Source organism: Homo sapiens, chromosome X (genome assembly GCF_000001405.40).
Source record: "Homo sapiens chromosome X, GRCh38.p14 Primary Assembly".
NCBI classification, from domain to species: domain Eukaryota; kingdom Metazoa; phylum Chordata; class Mammalia; order Primates; family Hominidae; genus Homo; species Homo sapiens.
In genome coordinates, this window is record NC_000023.11 from 111,244,284 (window position 1) to 111,270,483 (window position 26,200).

At 41.4% G+C, this 26,200-nt stretch overlaps 1 protein-coding gene across 1 annotated transcript, besides 2 other annotated features; it reads right to left on the reverse strand.

The window, feature by feature from the left end:
* Positions 816-26,200, reverse strand: CAPN6 (calpain 6). The gene is made up of 13 exons (NM_014289.4): positions 26,088-26,200; positions 19,489-19,668; positions 9,989-10,120; positions 8,725-8,933; positions 8,024-8,216; positions 7,266-7,459; positions 6,926-7,003; positions 6,634-6,820; positions 4,652-4,774; positions 4,286-4,488; positions 3,588-3,709; positions 3,085-3,221; positions 816-2,476 (listed from the first exon to the last, which is right to left on the reverse strand). The coding sequence occupies exons 2-13, from the start codon at positions 19,651-19,653 to the stop codon at positions 2,294-2,296; spliced, it is 1,926 nt and encodes a 641-aa protein (NP_055104.2). The 5' UTR covers positions 19,654-19,668; positions 26,088-26,200; the 3' UTR covers positions 816-2,293.
* Positions 1,957-3,156: an enhancer, noted in NCBI's record as "CDK7 strongly-dependent group 2 enhancer chrX:110489468-110490667 (GRCh37/hg19 assembly coordinates)". NCBI's record gives its function as "activates an origin of replication core promoter dependent on BRD2, BRD4, P300/CBP, MED14 and CDK7 cofactors, with strong dependence on CDK7, by STARR-seq in HCT116 cells {active_cell/tissue: HCT116}" and the evidence as "EXISTENCE:reporter gene assay evidence [ECO:0000049][PMID:35650434]".
* Positions 10,926-11,459: an enhancer, noted in NCBI's record as "OCT4-NANOG hESC enhancer chrX:110498437-110498970 (GRCh37/hg19 assembly coordinates)". NCBI's record gives its function as "activates a minimal SCP1, AML or CMV promoter by ChIP-STARR-seq in primed H9 embryonic stem cells {active_cell/tissue: H9 hESC(primed)}" and the evidence as "EXISTENCE:reporter gene assay evidence [ECO:0000049][PMID:30033119]".

Genomic DNA, 26,200 nt, shown 5'->3' on the forward strand with positions numbered 1-26,200 from the left:
CCTGATTGTCCCGGCCAGAACTTCCAATACTATGTTGAATATGAGTGGTGAAAGAGGGCATTCTACCCTTTTTTGTCTGGGGAAAAATTGTCATCCTTGGGGGGAAAAAAAAGCAGTAGCATCTTTGAGCTTAATTGTAATACCATAGTGCCATCTGGTGACCATATGGAATGACTGCATTATCCACATGGGATATTTCATGTCTAACAAAAATCTACAACATGTAAATCTCTAGTGTGTTCTGGGTTAGTGTTATAGGGACAGACAGTGAGGGCTGTACTTGAGAACTGTTCTCCTGAGCTACTCCTTTGGAGATCCCTCCCCTGGTTAGGCACTTTTTCATGTCAGAAAGAAAAATAAGAATTTTCCCCTTTGCCTACCCTAAGATGGTAGATGGCAGGTTGTATAAGCAAATGAGTGAAGTCTTCACACATCCCTTCGGCTCTAAGGAAGATGCTGGGAAAGGGGAGTTGGTATTTTGTCTTGTTGAGAGATCTTCCCTTGAAAGATTTGGCTACTGTACCTATGGCCTCGAGTCCAATCCCAAATAGGAGTTTCAAACTCAAGTAACCCCGAATAGCACCTAGCTGTCCCTAAATATGAAATAAAGGCCCCTCTTCATTCTTCCAACTACCCCAGAATGCAAAGAACTGTACCATCAGAGTGTAGCCAGGGCTTTTGAATCCATCACACTTTTACCTGAGCTCAGATTTCATGAAGTACCTCAACCCCCACCTCCAGTGGCTTTGAAACAAGTCTTAACAGATGGTCACTCTTGCCATCCATCCCATGCCATCAATTCAAGTCAAGACTGATCAATGTACTGAATATGAACTTTATTGTGATTTGGTTTATGTAAGGCAGTGTAGTGAAGGCACTGCAGAAGTTAAACAGACTGGAAAACATGGTAAAAAATGAGCGAGCTAAAAATGAATGCTTGCTGGTCTAGGTAGGCTAAGTACTACAACTATGTTTCTTTTTCATCATTGCAGAAGCGTTGAAATATTGTTGAAGGTGGGGGTTTGGGGTGGAATTAGGGAAGGCTTCATGGAGGAGGTGGCATTTATACTGGGCCTTGAAGGAGGGGCAGAAAGTTGATAGGTTAAGATGGAGGGAAGTACATTTCATAATGACTGACTCTAGAGAAAATTCTGTAGAAGTACTGAAAAATGAGAGGGCAAACAAACACCCCCAGCGAGTGAAGCATCCCAACTGAGAGAAAAGTCTGAGGAGTCTGGGCTGGGACCAAAGTCTCAAGTCCCCAGATGGGGTCTTCAGTACAAATGATATTAGGAGGCACAGGACAATGGGCTTGTTTGTAAACCTAGCAGCAGCGAGAGGTTTCACATTGCAGTCAGGGGCCCCAAACTGGCTGTAATATGTCTGGATGAATTCTCTCATCTTTTAGGTGTGTATGGTACTTACTTATCTTTCCTCTTGCCCACTGACTGCCTGAATGGTAGTTCGTGCGCGCCCATGTGCGCGTGTGTGAGTGTAGGTGTGTGTGGATGGGTGGGGGACCGAGGCTTTGTCTCCCACTGCAGCTTCTTCCACTTTTCCGTCTTGTGGCACACAGCAGGCTTCCATTGAGCTGAAGCTCAGGCCCCTCTCACTGTCTAGGACTCATTGAACTCCAGCTCTTGATTAAGCACCAGGAAGCTTTCTCAACATGAAGGTAAAATTTACTGTCGGGGGTGACTTGGGTTAGGGCAGGACTACACTTTCCGGAGGTGATGATGGTGGTGAGTGGTGGTGGTGGTGGTGGTCGTGGTTGGTGGTGGTGGCAGTGGTGTCTGTAAGGGTTGGGGACTTAAAGCCGGCTCTGGCTGCTGGGTGAAATGCTGCTGGGAAGTCTATAGTGTTCAGTCAGGAGCTAGGATGTCAGGCTAGACCAGCTTGGCCTTGATCAGCCCTCCTCCTTCCTCAACATGCCCTACAGGGGAGATATATCAAACAACTGAAAACATCAAAGACATCTGTAGGGTGTCCAGCCTCTTGTTATTGTCCTACTTGAATCTCACCCCCGGAAGCCCCAGAGATCCTTTCTTGGCAAATGTGTATGATGTCTAGATAGGACTGTCGCCTCCCCATGTCCAGCTGCTGGAGGTATATAGGTTATGTAGCTACAGATGCTACTTGGATTGGGAGGTATGGGGAATTTATCAGAAGAGAGGAAGAGTTAATTATTGTGAATCTCATTCTTTCTAAAGATTGTGAATCTTAACTAAGACCTGGCACCTGACGGAAAATAAAAGGGTGGCACGCTTTGTCAGGATTCTCTGGGATTGCAGATTTAGAGCTCAGTGAGATCATCGCTGGAAATAACCTTGAAGCTGATGTGGCCTTGCTTGACTTTGGCAGTTGGACCACCCTTCTTACGCAGGTACAGAGACTTCAGATCACGGCAGTCGCTGGGGTCAGCATCCAGAGTAACCTGCCCCAAGAACTGATCACAGAATTTTCGGCTGTTCCAGACCTGGAAAGACAAACGAAGGGAGTGAAGATGAGCAGCCCTCAGTGAGATTAGCCTTTGCCCAGTGACATCCAGATCTAATGCTGAGCTTCAAAAGATTTGTTTTAAAACCAAGAGACTATTCTGTCCTTTCCTGATAGCCCATCAGTTGAGGGGAGGATACCTCAAAGAATATACATGAAAAGCCAGAAAACAGAATCTCCGGGTCGTTCTTGACCTGTGGGATGGTTACCTAAAGGCTGCTGGTCAGGAGTATTAAGTCAGAAAAACTGCCAAACTGCAGTGATTCATCCTGACCTAGCCATGTGAGGGTCCTCTGAACTGGCATAAGCTTTCCTCCATGGGATTTTATGATACGTGTGTTAACATGTGTACTGGTGAGCATGTGGGCTTTTGCCCACAATTAAATAAATGGAAGAGAGGAGATTTAGGATGGATGGTAATAAGGAAGTCAGTGTCCATGCTTGATGAGAAGAGTTTTTGAGTATAAAACAAACCAAAAAATACGATAATTCTTGCTCTGCATCCTAAACATATATAAGGTACTTGGGATCATCTAGTATCTGGTACAAAGTATGAGCCTTTCTGGCGACCCCTGTACACACTCTTACCTGTACTATAATAGGAATGTCAGTGGTCCTTCTGTAGAAAATGGCCTGGGTGTCAAAAATGGCATGAACTGTATTCTTCTGGACAGGAGAACGGACTTCCTCCTTTCCACATTTGATGACCAAATATGGGTTTACAGCTGGAACAAAGTGACATATGTTTTTAACACAGCAATTAAAGTTCCTTTTCTAGATAGACAAGAAGGTATCTCGCTAAGCCAATTCTGGGACTTTCAGCATAGCACTCGAGCACCAGAATGACTGAGATTCAACACTTTTATTCCCACTTCCCTTTCCTTTTCCATATTTTATATAGGAATATGAAAATGAATCTAATGTAGGCCTTGCTTGAAGTTGACATCCCATCCTCTGCCATGGTTGCCATCCATTCCCAACTTCTCTAGACAAAATATCGCTGGAGAAAATCATTTGTGATCATGTTTTCTAACTTATGTGCTATAAATGCAACTGAATTTTGCTTTCCCAGACATTCCTGCCATTCTTACTTTCATTGGCATACTTCTTCTCCAGGTCCTCAGCACTGTGAACAGTGATCTGAGTAACTACTTTCGGGTAGCCACGAGCCAGGTTCCAGCAGGACATTTTGGGCATGTCCAGAGTCAGTTCCCTAGAACATCAAAAATAAAATATTGTCATCATATGATAAATATCCTTTGATGAAATAAGCCCGCCAAAGCAGACATCATTGCTGAAAAGCATGAGACATTGTGTGACTTAGCCCATTCCTCCTCAGATATGTCTTATATATATTTTAAGCATGCTTTCCTTTCTCCTTTCTTTAAGGGCCAGGAGATAAAGATCAAAGTAGGCAGGGCTGGGACAAAAAGGTGGCTTTGGTGATCCAGCACACAGAACATAATAGAAGAGCAGGGAGGAGTGCTACCTACTTAAGAAAAGAGGCCATCAGCCAGAAAACAGAAGACAAATTTGATGTGGAAGAACTTAGACTATAGGCCTGTTCCTCTTTAAGGGTAGCTCAGAGCTCTGAAGTTCAGACCTTCACTGGGGAATTTCCCCCAACCACCCTTTGAGAAATATTTTTACCACCATGATTTCAGTGAATCAAGTCTGATTTAAACAAGTTGTCCCATTGAATGTCTGAAGAGGGGAGACGGGTGAAGGGGTTTAGGATTGGAAGTAAAGCAAAGAACAGGGGTTTGAGGGCTTGCGAAGGAAACTGAACCTGAGCTGGACAGGCACTTCAGAGAAGATTCTCAGGAGAAACTCGCTGGTGCGACCATGCTGGAACATGGTTGGGACAAGCACATAGTTGCCCTTCTTCAGGTACTTGCTCAGAAACACTGTGCGGGTGTCAATATAGGTGGAAGTCCCAGCACGCTCCTGGATGTAGAGGTGGTGGAGGCGGAATTTGCGGTTCATCTCCACCTGGAAATGAAATAGGGTAAAATATTCAATTCCACTCAAATCATGGTTTTTGTATGCTCTGTCTTTTTTATCCCTAGGCCTTCCATTCTTCCCCTACCATTAAATTATCCTAATTTTTACTCTGTTTGCCTTCATTCTCTCTGCCCCAAATGCCCATTTTTACCTTGAAGAGCTCAAAGCCAATGATGTAATTGTCAGGTCTTCCCATTCGGCGGTAAGTGCGCAGGTCCTTCTGCTGCAGTGACATAATGACCTTGTGCCCATCCTCAGGCACAGTGAAGATGTACTAAGGGAAAGAGACCACCACAGAGGTGAGTTAGCATTCCCATTTCATATGAACGAGCTTAAATTTCAGGGAATAAAGCTTGTCATTGGGAAGCAGAGCCTTGAGTTATTTTCTGGGCTTTCATATTTATCAGACAACAAGGTCTTGGATAATTCACTGACTTGCTAAGCGTAGACCATTAACACTTGTTTCTTTCTATGTCATTCAGCATGTGTTGAAGGACAACCTTATTCTTAGCCTTTGATGCCAAAGAGGATATGCTTTGTTCTAATAAGTTCTTGGTAAATTATTGTATTATTATTATTATTATTGTTATTATTATCCCTTTGTATTTAAATGCCATATATAGAAAAAGTTTGGAATCCATAAAGACAGAAAGGTATTTATTTGACTCAACCTGACACTACAGCATCACCCTGGGCTAGCCTCCTTTTGCCAGCCAGACATACAGCTTGTGGAAGGGCTCCTTGGAGAATTGATGTTTTGCTACTTCCACTTTAAGGAAGCTACAAGCCTGTGTCAGAGACTTTCCAAACATCATCTGGGGAATCACGGTGCTATTAGGAGATAAAACTAAAAGGCATCAGATTTTTCTCTCTGTCTCTGTCTCCATTCCTCTCTCCCTTTAGAAGGAAACATAAAACAGCTACTCAGGAGGCTAAGGCAGAAGGATCCCTTGAGCCCAGGAATTCAAGGGTGCAGTGAACTGTGATCATGCCACTGCACTCCAGCCTGGGCAACAAAGTGAGACCCCATCTCTAAAATGAAGGAAAGAAGGAAGGAAGGAAGGAAGGAAGGAAGGAGGGAGGGAAGGAAGGAAGGTAGGAAGAAAAGAAGGGAGGGAGGGAGGGAGGGAGGGAGGACTTAAAAACAGACTCTGAACTAAGGCCCCTAAGTTCAATCCTGTACATACATATAGAGTGAAGCCATTTTCCCAGCTTAGTATATGTGCCTAATACTTGAAACATTTCCAGAGTTGTAAATGGAGGTGAGGTGGTGTGTGTGGGGGGAGATAGGATATTTCTTTAGGAACAATTAAGATGGGAAGGGTGGAAGAGCAGTATGAGTTAGGTGAATCAGCCCACTAGTCTCCATATTCTCCTAAATGCCTGACCAATGAGATCCATGAAAAGAAAAGACGCACCCATGGGCAGTGAGGCAGCAATATAGTCAGAATTCTTGTTTTCTATGAGTTAGCTCATCAGCACATTTTGAGATGAAACCATCCAGGTTATTATAGATTCAGCCTTTAGATGTTTGGATTTTTTACTCTGGAGTGTGCGTGGACTTGACCCTGTTATGTCACCTGGAATAGCACTGTAATGGGAGATGGATGGGACAGAGTCGTTGACAGGGCAATGATTCAAATCCTGGGAAAAATGACCTGGATCTAGATGATAAAATGGAGGCATAATAATGGGGTTCAAAAGAGTCATCTGCATTAGAAAGAGGAAGAATATAGTAAATGTGCACCCCAGAGAACAGCTGGGCAGTAAAGAGAAATGAGGAAGAATTGAGGGAGCATCTCAAAGCAGATCTTCTCTCTCCAATATGGGACCATCACAAGGAAGCAGGGATTGTCAAAGAGCCATACCAGACAATATGGCCAGAAGAGAGGCAGCCAGAGGAGGTGATTCAGATTTGATACTGCTGCCAAAGTCTGTCTCTGCAAAAAGACATAGTCTGCTGTGTTTTACAAGCACCTGAGACAATCCGTAGGGATCCTGGTTGTTGAATATTACACAATAGCTGCAAAAGGAAGATTTGATGCTAAAGAAATACTCCAGAGATGACCAAAGCAAGATCTGAGTTCCTATTGACTGGATAACTTTGAGGCAAATAAAGTAATTGACTCAAACCTGGGGATTCTGCAGGAAGGTATCACGGTTGTTATAGCAGCCTCCTGAGCGGTTCATCAGGGGATCATCATCCACAGTCCAGCATCCCAACACCGATTCCAGCTCCTTTCGGCCAAAAATAGGGTTGTTCACATTGCGGCAGACATTCAGTTTGTGAAAGTTGCGGCAAAAGTCCTCCAAGCTCATCCTGAATGGAAGGAGCACAGGAAAAAAATAAAGATGGTATTTAATACTTAACACTGTAGTTCCATGTAGAAGCCCCAATTCCCTTAGTGCAGAAACCCCTCCTCACCAAAACTCTCCATCATCAGACATAACAAGCCCCAGGTTCTTGCGATCTGATGCAGTCAGTTGCTGCCACTCTTCAGAACTGAAAGTAAATAGAAAAAAAAAAAAAAGATAAATCATTATGTTTGCCATTGACTTCTTGTAGTAAGTAGGATGCCAGAGAAACAGAGTGCATGAGGATCAGTCCTGCTTTATTTCATCTGCGGCTGGGTCACAGACCCCGTGCCTGACAAAAGCCCACAGATGTCACTGAGCATTGACAGCACACTAGCAGTCTGGAGGGATGGGTCTGGGAGAACTACAGGGCTTTGGAGATGTAGCTGTGAAAGTGGAATGCAACTCACATTTCACTCCAGGGGCCACTCCATTCCTGTCTTCCCAAGGGGTTTCTCAGGCGAACCATATACACCTTCTCAGCACTGAAGACTTCCACAAGTCTCTCTCCAAGACGAATTTTGCGAATATCAGTCATGGTATAGGTATGGCCCTTCAGCAGACCCCAATCAGTTTCAACTTCTTGCTCCTCCTGATTGGGAGACTGAGAGCAAAGAAAGATATATAAAGGCACAGGAATTGGGAGACCCAATCCTGACTCCTCTTCTTCATTAATTGGCTTAACCCAGTAGGATTGAAGCTAGTTCTCACACAGATGGAAATTTCATCCTGACACCCAACTTGAAACAAAAACAGTAGAGGAAAATAAATAAAGAATGTAATATAACAACTCAAACAAGTCAGATTCAAACTATCCACTGTAGGACATTAATATGAACTGCCATAAAATTTGATGGGGCAGATTCATTTATTGAGCAAGCAGCCATAACCTCAAGATCTAGAAGCAGAGACAAGAGGAATAATTTAGCAGAGGCTACTGACACAAGCCTGGATGCTGCATTGGTTCCATGTGGAATGACTGGTACAAAAGGATAAAAAACTAAAGCACCTCAGCTTCCACACCAGGGCAAAATGTGTATTTTAGCTTTCCAAGTCCCATTAATAGTTTTTCATGGGTCTTCGGGTTAAGGGCGAATTTCCCTACCAAACTTTGTAGTCTCTTCTGCCAGGAATGAGTATACAGTGGTTGTTTTTCATGAGTACAAACCTCAATGGAACAGCAGATCAGACCACCTTTGGTAAATGTTTTGTACAGTTCTCCGAATAGCTTGTACTTCTCCTCAACAAGCTCAGTGTATCTTCCTTTCTGCATGTCAACAGTTTCAGCCAATGTGCCCGTGAAGTCCACAATAATATCAGTGATGGTCAAACCATCCAGGGCCTCATAACAGCCTAGCAGCCTGAGGGCAAGTATGCAAGGTTATCTTTGTAAAATTGTTTTTCCAGGTCAAGAACATCATAATCTAAAGAATCAGAACATCCCCTGCCTAGACTTTACCAGATGGCTTTTCTCTAGGTATGAAATGAGAGATGTTTTGAAATTATATTCAGAAATTTCTAGGCTTAGGCTATGTTGATCAAGGACAGTCTATGCAGAAACTTCTTTCTACGGGGAGATATGAGATAAAGAAAAAATGAAGTGATAGTGCCATGTGATCTGCAGATAGCAGGAGGAAAGGGTACCTGGGAGCAGGTAAGAGTTTAAATGGAAACAAGAACCTCTGATTTCTCTCTCATCTAAGATTTCTGAGAGCCAGGCCCAAGTGCAAAGCAATGCCTTGGTTCTGACTGACATCTTACCCAACTTAAACTCCAGGGTTGGGCTGGGAGAGAATGAGCTCCCAAAGATAAATGTGGCTTTCCTTTCCTCATGTACCCTGATAGCAGACTAGTCAATCACCTCCTTACTTTGCATAAGCTTTTTCCAGCAGAGCATTCCAAAACTCATTCATGGAAGTGGAGAAAGAGAAGACCAGATCTCCGTTAATGGTGGGCAACAAGTCATCAATCACCACTTCAGTCCATTCTCCAAAATGCCAGAAACGAAAGTGAAATATCCCAGCGTATTTTTCTGTTTTTTGAGGGTCCCATTCCTGTTCCTTATGGTTGGGAATTGTCTAGAAATGCAAGAACATTTAATCAAGTGTTATTCACCAGACCACATCCAGAAACTGAGATTACAGTTTACTCCTGGCAAATCTACAGGGCAACAGGAAGCATGCCACATACACCTGGTTTGAGTCTGGATTGGAAATTCCTAGATATGGCATTTTGCCCACAACTTCTGCTTCCTCAGTTCAGTTTTGCTGAGGATGATATCACCATGCCTGTCTAAATGCACACAGGAGTACACAGTGTGGCTGGGACAACCAGTTAGTGGTTAAATGCTTTCCACAAATAATCTATAAACTAGATGTTGAGAAGCGGACTATATAAACATATTCATGATTGCATGTTTAAAATGCAAGGCATTCTAAAGAGCAAAACCAATCAAAATCAAGGCCCATTGTAGTTTGCTTTTTAAATATCCATTCTAGAGATTTTATATCAATTATATTAAATATGGATTTCATTTGCATTTTGAATAAAATCATGTTTAGGAATTTTTTTTGTATAACAGCTACACATTAATATTCTAAAATTATTTTTTGAGGAAAATGTTTTAACTTTGTCCCAAGTCAAGTTAACACTTCATTGCCTTGACCTCTACCTGAATGCTAAAGGAATTTTTGTACTATTAATAATTTATTAGAACTTTTCAAGTCCTACTTCTGTATTTCTCACCTTTTTTGTTATTAATATGTATTATTGACTTCCTGGCTTCTACTGACTTTATACCCCAATAGGTACAGATAACATAATATGCAGAGATACTGAGTCAATGCACGGCAAATGATAACCAAAGATCAGTGAGCATATATGACAAAGCAAGTAGAGTAAAATGTTAATGGTAGAATCTAGGTGGGTATATGAGTGTTCACTATAAAATTATTTCAACTTTTCTGTGTTTGCAAAACTTCTTATAATGAAATGGAGGGAAGTCGCCTAGTTAATATCTCTGCTTTCAAGAAATACAACAATCTAAGGAAGTTATGCGCTGATTTTTTTCCTAAAGTTATTAAAGAAGACAAGAAAGTGGAAACTGAATGAGGTCCCACAGGAGGGATAATACCTTTGTCCAATGAGACTCCTGAACAGCCAAACAGGAAAATGCAGAAACCATTGGCTTGTGCCCCAGTCTCCCTTGGGTCAGCTGGTGGTTGCTAATGTTGCCCACAATCAGATGGGGGTCATCACAGATGTCCTATGAATACAATAATTGGTTATATGAGAGTCTGGGAAGAGTTTCTCAAGAGTCACTGTGAGCTGAACTAGGCAGGACAGCCTTCATAGAGGAGATAAGGTTAGGGTTGAAAAATAAGTAGGATTTCCATAGATGGGATGAAGGGAAGGCTGAGGGGATTATAAGGAAAACCAAAAAACAGTTGATCATCTAGCCCCATGTTTGGAAGTGGCAGGAGAAATGAAAGGAGAGGGTGTCATGAGATTGGGTGCCATGCGGTGGTGAGGGCTCTTAGACATAGCTATCATTGGGGTTTGGGAGAGTTTTCACCACAGCAGTGAACTTTCCAAAAAAATAATAACTAGGAATTAGTACATTACATTCTGATCCTATTTTGCCAGGATGAGATTTTCTGAAGCACCTGTGCTTGGAAGGGAGATTGTATTAAAGAGACAAGGTCTAATGAAGGTTAACATTAATTCATCTCCTTCTCTAGGAAAACCAGTTAGGAGACCTTATAGGAAGCCCTTTTCTAACATAAAGCAAAAGCAACAGTGGTCTCCATAGCAACCAGATTTTTCTACATTTGTGGATGAATATAGATGACAGCAGCATTAATAGCAAGTGGTAATAAACCACTCACAGGAACACTTCAACCGACACTCTTCCCAGTGAAGGTCCTGAGGGGATCTGGGCAGAGTGGGGGCAGTATTTGTTTGGAATGTATGTGTGTATCTTCCCCCCAACATATTAACTGTGCCTTTCCCACTGGGAGTAGGAAAATGATACCTAAATGATACAATTATAACACAAAGCGATAGGGCACAGTAGAGTCATTTTCAAAGCATAATTCATGTCTAAAGGAAGAATCCCCATAATTCTCCTGATCACAGTCAGAATAGGATTCATAGTGTTGTTAACACTGGAGTTGACTAGAATTAGGCAGTTGGACAAGAGAGGGGTACGGTGGCATAACAGGTAGAGAGAAAGGCATGGGCAAAGGCATTGTGGCATACATGACACTACATAGTTGAAGACATAATTGGGTGACTCAGAGTATCAGCATTTGAAGAGTTCAAAGGCAGGAAATACCAATGCATTCTTGACTAGATGGAGAAAGCTTCACGAGGAGGCCATTGGCCGGTACCTTGACATTCTGCTTACGCAGCAGAAATAAATCCTTGTCTCAAATGGAATCTAGACATATATCCTTTTAAAAAGTATTAGAGACAGCTATATTTTTCTGGTCCTCAAACCTCTTTTTTTAATGGCCATAATTCTCCTTGACGAAGGGTCTGGTCTACAGAATGAAACATTCCATATATTCTTTAAAAGCCAAAATAACTCTGGAAAGAAATAGGCAGGCATTCTGGGCAAAGACAAGTCCAAGCTGGAGATTAACTGGGCATCCCTCTGCCAAAAGGAGATGGCTAGATAGGTTGTCAGCTTTGGATTCTCAGGTCTTTTTTTTTAGATGCATGCCTGGTAGTTCACAACTACTTTTTGTTTTAGGAGAATTTTCTATCTTAAAAAATATTTTTTATGGGCTGCAAACTGCCTTTGTTTTCACTTGTTGAACATAGAGCAGGTATGTTGGGTAAGTCAAACCCTGATGTTCTTTTTCTTCTCATTTTTTTGGCCTTTTCTAAAATGAAACTAAGCACAGTTTTTCCTCCCCAGGTCAGGTGTTTTCATTTTATTTTGAGCAAGATGTCAAAGTATAAAATAATTTCTGGCCAGGTGTGGTGGCTCTCGCCTGTAATCCCAGCACTTTGGGAGGCCGAGGCAGGTGGATCACCTGAGGTCAGAAGTTCAAGACCAGCCTGGTCAACATGGTGAAACCCCATCTCTTCTAAATATACAAAAATTAGCCAGGCGTGGTGGCAGGCGCCTGTAATCTCAGCTACTCAGGAGGCTGAGGCAGGAGAATCGCTTGAACCCGGGAGGCAGAGGTTGCAGTGAGCCGAGATCACACCATTGCGCTCCAGCCTGGGCAACAAGAGAGAAACTTCGTTCCAAAAAAAAAATAATGATTTATTTGACCTAGATAATACATATCATAGTTTCCTAACATGGAAAAACAATAAAGTGAACACTGATATATGAAAAAGTGTGCTTTTAGATTAATAAGGCAAATTATTTGCTAATTTTATGTAGAGTTATTAGTGGTTGGAGATACATTATGGTGTCTTGAATTTCCATAAAATTTTCATTTCACAGTAGGTATCTAGGCTTAGCCAACACTTTTGGCATGTCAACTTCTATTGAAGACATAAAGGGTCACATAAGTGAGCAAAAAGACATATAAACAATTCAAATTGAGGAATGGGGTAATTATTCTCTTCTTGACCCAAGATGGATATGATTATTATATATTATATGTGTCTATGTATATACATGTATGTACATATAATATATATATTAAAAGCTGTGTGAAATTCATGAGAGAATGTAAATTTGGGACCCCCCCCCCCACAACATTCCATTTCCTCTTATAAACTGGCCCATTCTCCAGTTATACTTTACCCCTTTTCATACGTGATGGCTATTTAACAATAGATTTAAAACATGACAAGTTAACAGTCATAGAATGTCAAAACTGGAATGAATTTTGGAGACTATCTAGTAAAGCCTATTTTTCACATGAGGAAGCAAGCTCAGAGAGGGGCAATAACTTGCTACTCTGATCATCTAGCTAGTCAGCAGGAGACCTAGGCCTAAAGTTTTTTATTTTTCAGAACCACATATGGCTAGAGAAAGAAGCTGAAGACCTCAGTCATCCATCCCTGTGCCTTTAGGCTCAACAATGGCCACCACATAAAGGATGATATTGTGCAACTCCTCAGGGACAGAGATGCTACTACCTCTTTCAGTCATTCATCCCAGTGTTTTATGCCTCTGCTTAAAACCTACCTAAACACTCTTCACTCTTTTGGGAAATTTACTTACCTCTTAGCTTTTGGTTCCAGGATGAATATCACTAATAGGCGTTAGTCTGCTCAATTAAATTCAATAAATATGAATCAATCTCTTACTATATGTAAGCATCGTGATATGAAATACGGGAAATAAATCCTTTATTAAGCCCTATCTTCTGCCTCTTTAAGGAAGTGAGGCATTAAAAGACTAGAAAGTAGCCAAGGATTTAGAAAGGGTAAAGGGTAATAAGCCAATGCAAACCTAGCAGCCAAACAGACTATTTGGTGACAAATTTGAAAACAACAAAATGACTGTTTGTTGACTTCTCCCCTAATTTTGGACACACTGGATATCTTCCTGTTGGGGTTAAGGATGTAAGACGAGAAATTTTTCTGTAACTCAAAGCTGAGATGCAGAGTGCAGATGGGACATTTCAGCTTGAGCTGTGCTGGAGTGGTAGGAATGGGGTTGGAGGAGAGGTCACAGCACACATATTCACAACATTTGGGTGGCTTAGGAGCAAGGAGGGATGCTGAGCCCCTAATGGCTCCCAGCTGTGCTGGCACAGTTGAAGTGATCATTTTGTCACGGCAAAATGATTTCTTAGGAAGAAACACACAACTAGGAAGTTGAGTACCAAGAGTAAAGCTGAAATGGTCCCCGCATGACCCCACTTCTGAGCCAAAACCTTCCATTAAGCAAAGCAGCTTCTCTAGGAAGTGTGTTCTCTTAGCTTAGTCTTAAGGGACTTCTCATTGTCCTTACTTCATCCTCCTTCCCAGAGACCTCTGAGCGGGAGGGGGCATACAGTTACAAGTCCTGTAGCCCTGCACAAGGCACTCTATGTGACTCCCTTTGCACCTACCACATCCAAATTCAGCATTTTTTTTACACAGGTGAAATTTACTGACAATAAACATGGAGGTCCAGGGTAAACCGCAGGAACCTCAGTAAAATGAAAAGCTGCCCAGAAAACCAGCAGCCAGAATAGTGGAAACACTTTCAAAAGTGCTACGTGCAATCTAGCAGTAGTGAGGGGGTAGGGGTGTGGACACCTACAAGTGAGGTCAGGCCTGCAGTAGGTATATTATGAATAAGTCCAGGGTCTAAATAGTCCCAGAAAGCTCAGGGGCTAATTTGCACAGAACTGCTATTCAGGAACTGAGGGTTTTGTGAGCTAGTCCAAGTAGTCGTTATCTTACTTAGAAAATTGAACCATCCCCCAGATGGAGCATTTATAGGTGGACTTAGGCTCAGGGACTAATGTTGCACCAGCCTCTCAAGAAGTCCACTTTTCCTACTGGGGAGTTTCAATTCTGCATGAAGATTTTATTATCAATAAAATAGTCTCTTCCTTCCTAACCCATCCAAGGAAAGCTCAATATGGAGAATAGAATAGGATCTTAGGCCCAACCTCCACTTCCAAACTGGGCCACCAAATCACTGTGTAATCATTTTCTCACTTTAACCTTCAGGATTCTGCTAGGAGACTCAAGGCACAGATCCCGAACTGCTTTTTTGGGAAGAATTTATATATCTATGCAACGGAATACTGTTCAGCAATAAGATGGAATAAATTGATACATGCTACAACATGGATGACTCTTGAGAACATTATGCTAAGAAAAAGAAGCCAGTTACTTTTATGATTCCATTTTAAGTGAAATGTACAGAATAGGCAGTTCTGGATAGAAACCAAAAGTACATTAGTGGTTGGCTGCAGCAGGGGTGGGGGTAGGGTGGAGGGATTACTCCCTTCAAATGTGCACAAGGGATCTTATTGAAGTGATGCAGCTCTTCTACAACTGGGTTGTGGTAATGTTTGCACAACTTTAAATTTACTAAAAATCATTGCTTTGTATACTTAAAACAGGTGAGTTTCACAATATATAAATTGCACTTCGATAAAGCTGTTAAAGTTTGTTAATGCATAATTTAAAATAAATAGGACAGTTGGAGAAAAGACTATGGGCCTATTCAACTCTCTTCAATTGTGTAAACAGTGGAAAACACTTAGGACTACTCACATGGGGTGATATAGTCTCTGGGAAGAAAAGGAAATTCTTGAGCAGACTAGGCCAAAACTACTATACCTAGGTGTTGCATTCAGCTGGTGGTTGGAAATTTCTATTAGCACAGAGAGAAAAGTGTTTCTTTCCTTACGGTTCCCTCATATGCTGTCACCCAAGCCTGTATATTCTGCTTCTAATGTCTTCCCTTATCTGCCTTTCCCTTCCATTCCTACTACCATAATTTTAATCCAGAGCCTCATCACCCTCCCACTCTCAACCAGACAATGTAGTAAAATGGCCCCAGGGGAATGTATTCTAGAGGGGAAGACTAGGCAATGGCAATGGTAGCGAAGGCTGAACTTAAAACTTGACAGGAGAGCTGACAGATCTTGTGCAGGTGCCCTTTTTTCCTCACAGCTGACAGTGCAAATTCCCATGAGGCTTTACTCCTTTTTAGTCAGGGATTAGATGTGTCTGATTTTAAGACACTATTGTAGGTAGATATGAGTCAGTAAGGAAAAACGCCAGAGGTGGGTAGGAGGGGAGAGTGGCTGGAGGGAGCTGGAGAAGAGATTTTCTGTGGGAATTTGGCAGGCAGATTTCAGCCTAAAAATCCTACCGGCAGTCTTATGATCACACTGTAACTCAGTATAAGTTAGACCTTATAATTTATGAAGACTATATATGTTGAGCTCCAGGAGAATAGAAAAGTCCAGGAGCACATGGTCTCAGGTAATATACCTGTGTATTCAGAAAGCTAGGACAACAGCTGAGGCCAATAGACGGCTGGAGAAATTAAGAAGAACTTTCCTCTGGAGGGTATGGGCAGATGATCTGGCATTGAACAATTGCAAGACATTCATAATTCCTGTCATCTGAAGAGGCTCCTTAAAACACAGCAAAGAAGTGGCAAGTGGGAGGAGGGGAACTCAATCCTGCCCAAGAATGGGGCGGCGGGGGGCCGGGGGGGCGCCAAGGCGGCGAGGGGCGGAGCTTGACTGGAGTCAGTTTGTTAAACTATCAGTGGTGTTTGCAGGCATGGAGGCTTACGAAGGCAAAAGCCTTCAACACGAGAAAGGAAAAAGACAGAAAATATCAGGTTAATCGTGTTGCTTCCATTTTGGAGACTTCAGAAAATAGCCCCAGTTAAGTGTGCAGCTACATGGCATGCCAAGGGACAAGATGTCTGTAAGTTTCGCTGCAAACCAGGATCTCAACCTTGCCAATGAGGTGGGGGAGGCCAACGGCTCATCTGGCCTTCCTGAGCCAATTCAGAGAGGCCCAGCTCTGTCTCTCAGCTTTCCTGATGGGAGGCCAGAGAACTTTGACGTGGTTCTTGACCACAGGCTTGGCCTCCACTCTGGCTGGGAAGGAATCCACAGCTTTTGGAGGAGGCTCAGATGGTGGTCCAGAACCTTGTTTTTTTCTCCTGCTCCCCACAAGAGGCCCCTTCTCCAACCATTCCAATCTATGGTAACCTCCCCTTCTTCAAAAATTCTACATGATTTACTGTCCATATGACTGAAAATAGCATTTCATACATCCAACATTCATTTCTTTTTTAACTATTTGATAGCTCAATATCCATCTCCCCAACTAGAATGGGAGTGCCTCACCACAGGCCATGTCTGTGTCTTGCACCAAGGCTGGCATAGAGTAAGTGTTCAGTAAATATTTCTCTAGTGACCCTCCCTTTGGGCTTAATAAGATTAAGCAAACACCATGCTCTCAAACGGGAGAGTGTGGAACAATTAATGGAAGTGTGGCATCAACACAGTGAAGAGGAATATGAGAACTGACTGGAGGGAAGCTACCTATTTTGGTGAAAACAGGGGACACAAACAACTAACTCTATCTATCTCCCTGATATGACAGCATGATAGAGTGAAAACTTATGCAGGCTTTGCAGTCAAACGTGGATGCAAATCCGAGCTTGTTAGCAGTCTGACCCTGAGCAAATACTTACCTTCTCTTAAAGACACAGTTTCTTTTTATATAAAGATATATAATGGGCATGTATCTACTGCTATTTTTTAAACTAGGAAATCAGAATTGCATCAAAGTAACTTTTAACATGCCTACTTTGCTAAGCCATGGTAAATAAGGGTGAAGTAAAATAATGTATAGAAAACTTCAAACACAGTATCTGGCCCATAGTACGCATGTCATGACTGTTGATTCTTTTTCCTACCCATCCCCACTGTTCAGCCTCTCTCTCTGATTTTCTCTCACTTTAGAAGGGCTATTGTTTGCCTTAGAGGCAAAATGCCGTGGTTGTTAAGACTTTTTCCTTCCCTGCTAATCCATCTAGGATTCAATCCACAGAATTTGGAGGATGAAGGCAAAGGACAATGGACTGAGCCAAGATAGAGGGGGAAGGATATGTCTAAAGACAGCCAGTACAGGAAACACTGTCTGCTTGGTGCACTTCTGGGGAATGGCTTCATGTTGGCTTGCAATTTTGCTGCCCATCGGATCTCCTCCCACCTCCTCCACCTCACCCCTATCAATCATCCCTTTTCTCTTCTGTGTCTTCAACCTCTTCTTCTTTACCATCTACTTCTTAGCCTATAAATATGTTCAAGTCTGTCCTATTTCAGAAAGACACCTACCCAATACACCTCTCTTAATTTCCTGCTTCCTTTTTAGCTACTTTTGCCCTATTGACATCTTTTCCTTCATATCCAAGCATCAGAAAAGAGGGATGCCCCTTATTTATCACCATCCATTCATAAGAGTGGCTCCCAGACAACGTATCTCTATTTTTCTCCATGTATTTTTGCAAATAAAAAAAAAAGCCTGTCTGCATACCAAAGTATTGGTTAATGAATTCTGCTCATTTCCTAGATTTTTCTTGCAGGTCAGCTAAGTGATCCGCTGGAATGTCAATAACTGCAGACACAGAAAGGCAGGAGGAGTGTAATTTTCCTTCAGACAGAGCGAACTTCTCCCAGTCTCATACTTTCAATGGTTGTCATTCTTTATAGGCAAAAACTAAGAGATATCCTTTGAGTTGCATAGTAAACAAGTCTTGATGTAACCAGTGTATCTTGACACCACATGGTAGCAACGTGCATAAACAGAAGTAGCTCTTGGCAGAACTCCATTTAGGAATTTAAGCTGTGGAAATTGCAACTAAAAGTGATAGTTGGTAAAAGGGTTACTTGAGGGAGGCAAACATTGAGATGATGCCTGAGATGGTTCCATAATAGTACACAGAAAGGAACCTCATTAAATAGGACCTGAATGTCTTCAGGATATTATGAAGTTCCAAGAACTTGCATTTCACAACATCCTTCTGTGGCCTATATACCTCATCACCTACATTGAGAAGGAGTTTAGGTACAATATCCTTCTATCCAGTTATACCCTTTAGGTATAGCAAGGTTGCAATTTATTCTCCAGACTCCATCATCCTATTGTTTTATACACTGAGCTCCTGCTCATGTAGGACTAGTGAAAGGGTTCTGAAACTTGCTTTAGAGACACAACATACAGATGATGCACAGAGAACCACAACAACTATTAATAGTTACTACTAATAGGTGGTGAAAGACCTACAATTCTACTTGAAGCCCACTTGTCCAGTTGTGGGATGATACAGATGACAGTGTCCATAGAGCAGCAAAGAAGCCTTCTTGCCCCCATGAAAAATTCATCTTCTCCCTTTAAAATTTGTCTCATTTATGCTCACTTTATAAGGAGTTTTTCTCCTCACTGGTCTGAAATTACATTTAAATTGTTATGACAGGTAACTCAGTAAAGAGGCAAGAGCATAGTTGCTTTTTGTGTTACCATATTTACTCAAATGAACTTCCAAGAGAAAATAAGGTTGGCATATCTCTCTGTTTTTTGTACAGAAATATTCATAGCATCTTTATGTGTAACAGTAAAAAATACTAAAACCAACCCCAATGCCCTTTAGTGGGTGACTAGATGAACAAATTTTGGCATATCCTTATCATAAATTACTACTCACCAGTAAAAACAAAACAACTATTGATACACAGAACACCTTGAATGGATCTTAGATTAATTTGCTTAAGGTTAAATAGCTAATCTCAAAAAGGTACAGTGTATTTTTTTGTTGTTTTTTCTAAGTAAATCTGTCAAAATTTGACTAAAATTCAGGACTCCAAGCTAGAGCCAGGAGCACAGATCCATGGAACTTTCATTATAAAGTTTTCTTTATGTGAGGTGATGAATACGTTAATTTACCTGATTGTGGTAATTATTTCACAATGTATATGTATATCAAAACATCACATTGAACACCATAACATACACAATTTTTATTTGTTAATTATATTTCAATAAAGCTGAAAAAAAAAGAAAGGAAGGAAGGAAGGTTAACTTCTAAATTGGTCTACACAGTAGGCTTTGTAAGTGAAACAGTGGATCACGTAGAAGTATGATGAAGGAGGTCAAGGAGACAGAATGTGTAAAATAGAAAGTTACCTGGGGACGTTTCCACACCACCTTTCCAGGAAGCAGTCGGTTGTAGAAAAGAGAATCATTCTCAGGCAGAAATGTTGGATCACAGAAAAGTCTGCTGTCTTTGATGCATTCCTGCTTCAGTTCCTGGTATTTCTGGTTTTTGAAGAGCTTCAGAGGAGGACCCATAGTGTTGAACTATGCCTAGAATGAGGAAAATTTTTGTCTTTGAAGGAAGAATTTCTCAGGTCTTTTAAGGGTTACCTGAGATTAGACAAACAGCCGTCATCCCAGTGACTTCTTCCCAGAGCTAGGCACTTCTAGTTTGGCTTTAAAGGAAATGTCACCATTTTCAAAGAAAGAAGTGTCCACACTCCGCAACTAATTAGTATGGGGCCTTGGGTAAGGCACCTAACCATTTTGGGTCTCAGTTTCTTTATCTGTCAAATGGGGCAATATGGGCCTTAATCTTATTGGGGAAAAATCAATAATAAAAGTAAAGATTGTGAATTAAATGTGATTCATTATAATTTAAAGAGAAGTCTTCCATTTACACCAGCAGGGAGTAGTTCAAGGCAGAGAACAACTTGAAGATAAGGGAAAAATCACTTTACTGTAGTCAGAATAATTTGGTGCCCTGGAGAGTCGCACACTTTGTGCATGAGGGGAAAAGCAGCCTCTTTCCATTCCAGCAAGTCTTTTTACACAATTTCTTCCGTCTTGTCATTTAAAGAGCTTTGCATTTTTTATTATTGGCCAGGAAGACTACTGCAAGAAACAGCTCAGCAGATGGCCTCCAAAGACAAGGAAAGACAGAAAGATTGTATGGTCTTTCTTCTTAAAAGTCTAATGTATAATCCTTTGCCTGTGATAAAAGGCAGACTCTGAAATTCAATTACACTAATTTGGTGGGCTATAGATTGTTATCCCATGGCAATACACTCTTGCTTTCTTTTCTTTAAAAAAAAAAAAAGGAGGAAAAACAAAAACCTTACATGGCTAAACAGAGAATTCATATAGTGGCTCTTCAAGCAATGTCTATCAGAGTGCCCCACACTCAAGTGCTCTTAACAACTGGTTTTTAGGAAGATAATTTGAAAGGCAAATTTGATTTTCAATAGCTTTGGGGTGATAATAGGGTTTTCAGTGCTTTTTCTTGATTCACAAAGATTTGTAATGATTTTAATGATCCTCTCCTGGCATTCAACAGTAAATAAGAATGAGATTGTGAAATTTACATGGTGTCAACTATTTCAAAATGTATTTTAGAAATAACTAAAGTCTATATTCTATAATCACAGGAGGGTTGAAACAAAAAAAACCTGACTAAGCTACAGAATGTCTGCTAAAAAATAAGGAGAATACGTTAGCACTTTAAGGAGTATCTGTGTGGTATATCTGTGAGGCAGTCGCTGTTTTATAAAAAGTGAAATATTGATCAGACCTCTCTACTAGTTCATTTTATATCCTTTCAGTATCACATTGAAATGCCTCACTGGTAAAGAAGTTTCCCCATTTGAAAACCATAACAATTTTTAATTTAAATGTTTGCAATGTTATTACAATGTTATTTGCAATGTATGTACAACAAACTTACCCTTTCTCTGAATCCAAGGAATAAGAAGCTGAGAATAACCACATTTTTTTCATAGCCTTATTTATTGGCAATTGCTTTTAAAATTGAGAGCTGTGGGGACACTGCAAAATACTGATGTCCCTTTTTTCATCAGATTTGTCTGCTCATGTGTTTTAAATATTAAAGTGTACTTCATTGTATTTGAAAGCATGGATGGTATCAGTAAAAATTTTTAGTTATGCAGCATCAGAGCCAACCTGAATGTTTGCCCAGACTCCTTTCTGGAGGCTGTTACAAATGGATCCCAATTTTCTTGTGTGCTCAAACTTACAACAAACACTACTGCGCCTCTTGCTTTCCCTAGAAGGTTTGGTGAATTGCCAGAGCCTGGGGACTGTAAATGTGGAAAAGCCTGGGGCAATTAGAATATTTAGTTTGCCAGAACCTCCTAGTCCCTGGACATTCTGGATAAATGAGTATTTCCTGTTCTGCCTTCAAAGGTCTTCCTTACTACTCGGTCAAATGGCAAGGCAGGCAAGATCCTGCAAAAGGAATCCCTGTTATAAAGAGGGCCTGTGTACAGACAGAAGTAGCACCAATTGAAAGGAAAATCAGGTTTGATTTTTAAAGCCCATGTGATCCCAATAGACTCTTTCAGAGGCAGAATGTACAGCTCACATGGATAGATTACAGCTTGACGGAACACCTTTTGGGTCAGGGTGCCTGTGTTCTGGGGACACACAGTAAATAAAGAAGAGCAGACTATGAGCCTGAACTTCCACTACAGTACAACTGTAGTCCCAAGTCCTCTCGGACTTGGAGAGTAGAAGTGACCTTCATGTGGAGGTTGCAGTGAGCCGAGATCGTGCCATTGCACTCCAGCCTGGGCAACAGAGCGAGACTCCGTCTCAAAAAAAAAAAAAAAAAAAAAAAAAAGTGACCCGCATTTCTGACTGGGCAACAGAACTGTGATCCATTTGCTCTGTGACCTTGTTCTCTTTGTGCCTCAAATTTTTCATCAGGAAAGTGAGGTTATCTACCCTGCCCCTCTTACACCATGGGTGTACCTAATGAGATGGTTGGTGTAAGAGGAATTTTGAATAAGTAGAAAGTGATCCATAAATGCAAAATATACACTGAAGCCCTCTCATTGCCTAGCATTGAGCTGGGCACACAAATATTGTTCAGAAAATGTTTGTTGAACAGATAAATGTCTTATGTGGAGAATTAGTGATTGCATGGCAATTTCTTGTTTGAAATGTGCATTTTACATTTTAGTTCGGGTTCTCATCATAGCAGTCATGTTTAATGAGATTATCTGTGCCCTTCATTTTGTATCTGCAGAAATGGCAGCTCAGAGAAGCAGTAGCTAGAAAATGGCAGAGTTAACTCAAATCCAGGTTCTGTGCAATGCCAGATTCAGTGTGCAGCTTTCCATCACACCACACTGCTTCTTTTGGTCACTGCCTTCTTAGAGAAAGGATTTTTTAGTTCAAATGAGGAAATCCTCCAAAGCAAACATGATACTCAACTTTGAGGCATTCTGCCTAGAATTTATTGCCATGGTAGACATTGAAAAGGTTCTTTATTTTCATGGTTTGATGTTCATGGGAGAATCTGAACTCTTTACATCGGCGGGTTCATCATTTAAACATCAGAATACTTTTGGAAACCCAGAAATTTGTAAGTTGAGTTTGTCATAAACAACTTACTCTGTTGGAACGGATGAGTGCAGAGAAGGGAACACTCCCTCCTTTCTGTTCTATTGCACCCGATGGCGATGGGGAAGGGAGAGCCCTTACGTTAAAGATCACATATTAGGAAAGTCGGGAGACAAGATAAAAGTTAGGGCTTTGAGTATAAACCCAGGGATTTGAATATAAACCAAGGAGAGCCTCTAGCTAACAAAGGCAATGTGGACATTTGAGAAGAGGGACCCTGTGGCCTGAGGGCTAGTGGAATGAGCGGTTGGGTGAGGCAGAGTGTGGTGGGGCTTAGCATTGAGGTAATGGTCTTAGGCAATATTATTATAATTCAGATCCACCACTTTGAGAAAGAATATGAGGACAACCGTGTCTGCCAAGGCAAAGGATAGGAGCGGGCCCAGAGTGCAGAAAGTTGAGAATTGCCAGGGAAGTTGAGGGAGACTGCCACGTAGAATACAAGGCTGCAGTTTAAAGAGAGAGGTATTTTTTTTCTACTCACTGGACTGGAAAGCTTGAGGAAGCTAGGCAAGTCGTGAAAGCAAAATCTCTTGCTTCTTAACCTGCGGGTTAGCCTTAGAGCAAAAAGCATATTTTGCTCTAAAAAAATCTGATAAAATACATCCTGTCTGTGGTTCACAAGCCACTTTGGATTTAGGTGAGTGGGAGAGAACATGAGGGAACTTAATGGGGAGAGGGAGAGAGGGCATGGCTGAGGCATTGTTCCTGCCTAGTTTCTCCTTTTCCTCAGTTTCATCCCTGTTCTGTACTTGGAGCAAAAATCAAGATAAAATCAATAAAAGTTTGCAGACAAATTGAATACAGAAGACCCAATTCTGCCCTGGCATGAAGTAGGCACCACTTTTACCCACAATCCACATCCCTTATCCCCACACCTGGGGGGTGGTATGGTGAGAGAAAAGGGACTTGGATAGGAAAAAGTAATACAAATTCAGCATCCACATGGTATACAGAGAATAGTGCTTTTCATAGGTACACAGGCAGAGTCATAGCTTACATACATGGGCACGCATTTAACCACAGGACTTATGTATGGCTGTTCAGATTCAAACTTCTAACCAGATATTCTGGGTCTAAAAAGGACCACAGAGATCCTCTGATCCAGCCCACTGCCTTATATAGGATGTACCTACTGGCCCAGAGAGAAGAGTCTGTTCAAAGCCATTCAAAGGAAAAAAAAGAGGACACAATTTTAATTCGGTTGCTCAATAACTCTATCAAAAAATAAAAAGCAATTCAAAATGATAAAAGGAACACAGGTGGTTACAAGATCCAGAAACAAATCCAAAATATCACCATTTAGTATACATAACATCTCAGTCCCTCAGTTTCCACATAGCACAATGGGAATATGTTAGCTTCCCTGTCTACTTCAGAGTGTTATTGGGAGAATGTAATGAAATTATGTATGTGAACATACTCTTTATTGTTAAAGATAAGGCTAAAGCAGGGCAGTAGTATTAGGAAGCACTTATTTTAACAAGTTAAATTTCTTTTCTGTCTTTAGGGGAAACTAATGAAATTTGATCATGTGCTTTAAATAAGACATGCACCAACATTTAAAAGACTAATATAAAAATTGCCCCTCCACCATTCTCTACACCTCCCTATTTCACCCCTCCTTTTTTGGCTGACTTGCCCTTTTGGCCGAATAAGCCCATCCTATATGTCTACTTTTCCAGCCTTTCAAGAATCAAATTCTGATTTTATAGAATGTTATGTTGGAAAGTCTGTTAGAAATCACTTAGTACAACTTCTTTCTTTTGTTGTAAGGTAAAGGCACTTGCCCAGGGTTATGTAGTTAGTGACAGAGCCCACACTAAAACTGGGACCTCCCAACGTTTTTTTTTAAACCACAATTTGTTGTAAGGTGGGGAGGAGGGCAAACATGCAGACACAATATGTCAAGCAAGACGTTGCTTTTAAAAATTCATATTGTACTCTTCTCACAAGAATGCACTTAGAAGTTTTGTTTTTGAATTGCAAGCTGTCAGAAGGTGAGATGATTTCAAATCAAGGCTAATCAAAGAAACACTGTTTTGGGGTCACAAAGGGACTTTTTCTGCTTTTAATTTAGGAACTGAAAACTCCCAAGGATATGGAAAGCCTGCTTTTTAACCTATTCCTGACCATGTAAGTGTTTAGACTTTTTCCCTAGACTGCTAGGGAGTCTAAGGACAAATAAAGAACGCTATTTGAATACAAAGTATTCACACACACCCAGGCACACACGTGCACATAAGCATGCTCACACACACACACAAACTTCCAGAGGAATAAAAGAGTTAATTAGCAGTCCACAAATAATTTTTTTGTTTATTACTTCAGACTGTAAAGTGTTCTTACTTTCACAATAAAGATTAGCAAATGAGGCATTAGCTGAATTTCAATACACCAATAATACAAACCAGGATGTTTTATCCTGAAGCCAGAAGTAATTGTTAGGACAGCAGAATTTGCTGAGTTTTCCTATGTGCTTTTCAGCAAACTTACAGTTCCAAATCCTCAGAACCAATTGTTTCCATTACAATGCACCGCTCCTTTTTCCCGTCCCCCACCCAAAGCCAGTTCTGATCAAGTGGTCCAGTGAAGACCCTAGAACAGTGTACTTGGCCTGGGAGTGGAGGATGGAGCCCCATCTTGAAATCAAAGTTTAAACCAAAGCTGGAATCAGAGGGGAACAAAGCCAGGCCAGAGGCTGAAAATGGAATAGCCAAGATCAACCTGTCACCAGGGCAGGAAGACCACTGGCTGTGCAGACAGGGAGTTAAGATAGACTTGGCCACCACTTCCTCCTGTACAACACTGCACAGCCTGCTCACCCTCCTACCAGAGTTCACAGGCCTTTTGCACACAGTGTGGCTCCAAGATTTTGCTCGCATTTCAATAATTTTCCCACAGCTGTGGGTCAGCAGAAGCTAGAAGGAGGCCCTGAAAGGAGCCACGCTTCTCCCCCTCAACACCATCCCCTGTGATTTTTCCTCACTTACCAGGTATTTTGGGTAGCAGAAGGCAAACACATACACATGCACGCGTGTGTGCACACACACAAAAAACTGACCAGATATCCCCAGAAAAGTTTCATTGCCAGACAACCACAATCATCACCCCACACACCCCTCAAAATAACCAACCAAAAATTCCATTATTTTTGAAGTTCTCAAACTGCTATTAACGGGCACATATTTGATCCAGACAAGCCATAAAATATAGCTGTGGAGTTTGGTTAACTACAAAGTTGAAGTTTCTTCATCTTTCTTAGACGCTAAGTTATCCAGGAAATAAAACTCCAGGGTAAGTTTGCGAATTCCCTCTCTACTCACCTGAGTTATCCCAGGAGCCCTGCTGCTGCTGCTGCTGCTGCTGCTGCTGCTGCTGCCGTTGCCGCTGCTGCTGTTAGCCAGGTAACCCCACTAAAAGTCTGTTCAGTCAGTGT

Bases quoted from the DNA above. Each gene is read 5' to 3' on its own strand.
- CAPN6 (NM_014289.4), bottom strand. From the start codon at position 19,653: ATGGGTCCTCCTCTGAAGCTCTTCAAAAACCAGAAATACCAGGAACTG. The intron at 10,121-19,488 runs GTAACTTTCTAT...TTGTATTCATAG, and splicing joins TGGTGTGGAAACGTCCCCAG to GACATCTGTGATGACCCCCA. The intron at 6,821-6,925 runs GTGAGGAGGGGT...CCTTCCATTCAG, and splicing joins TCTGATGATGGAGAGTTTTG to GATGAGCTTGGAGGACTTTT.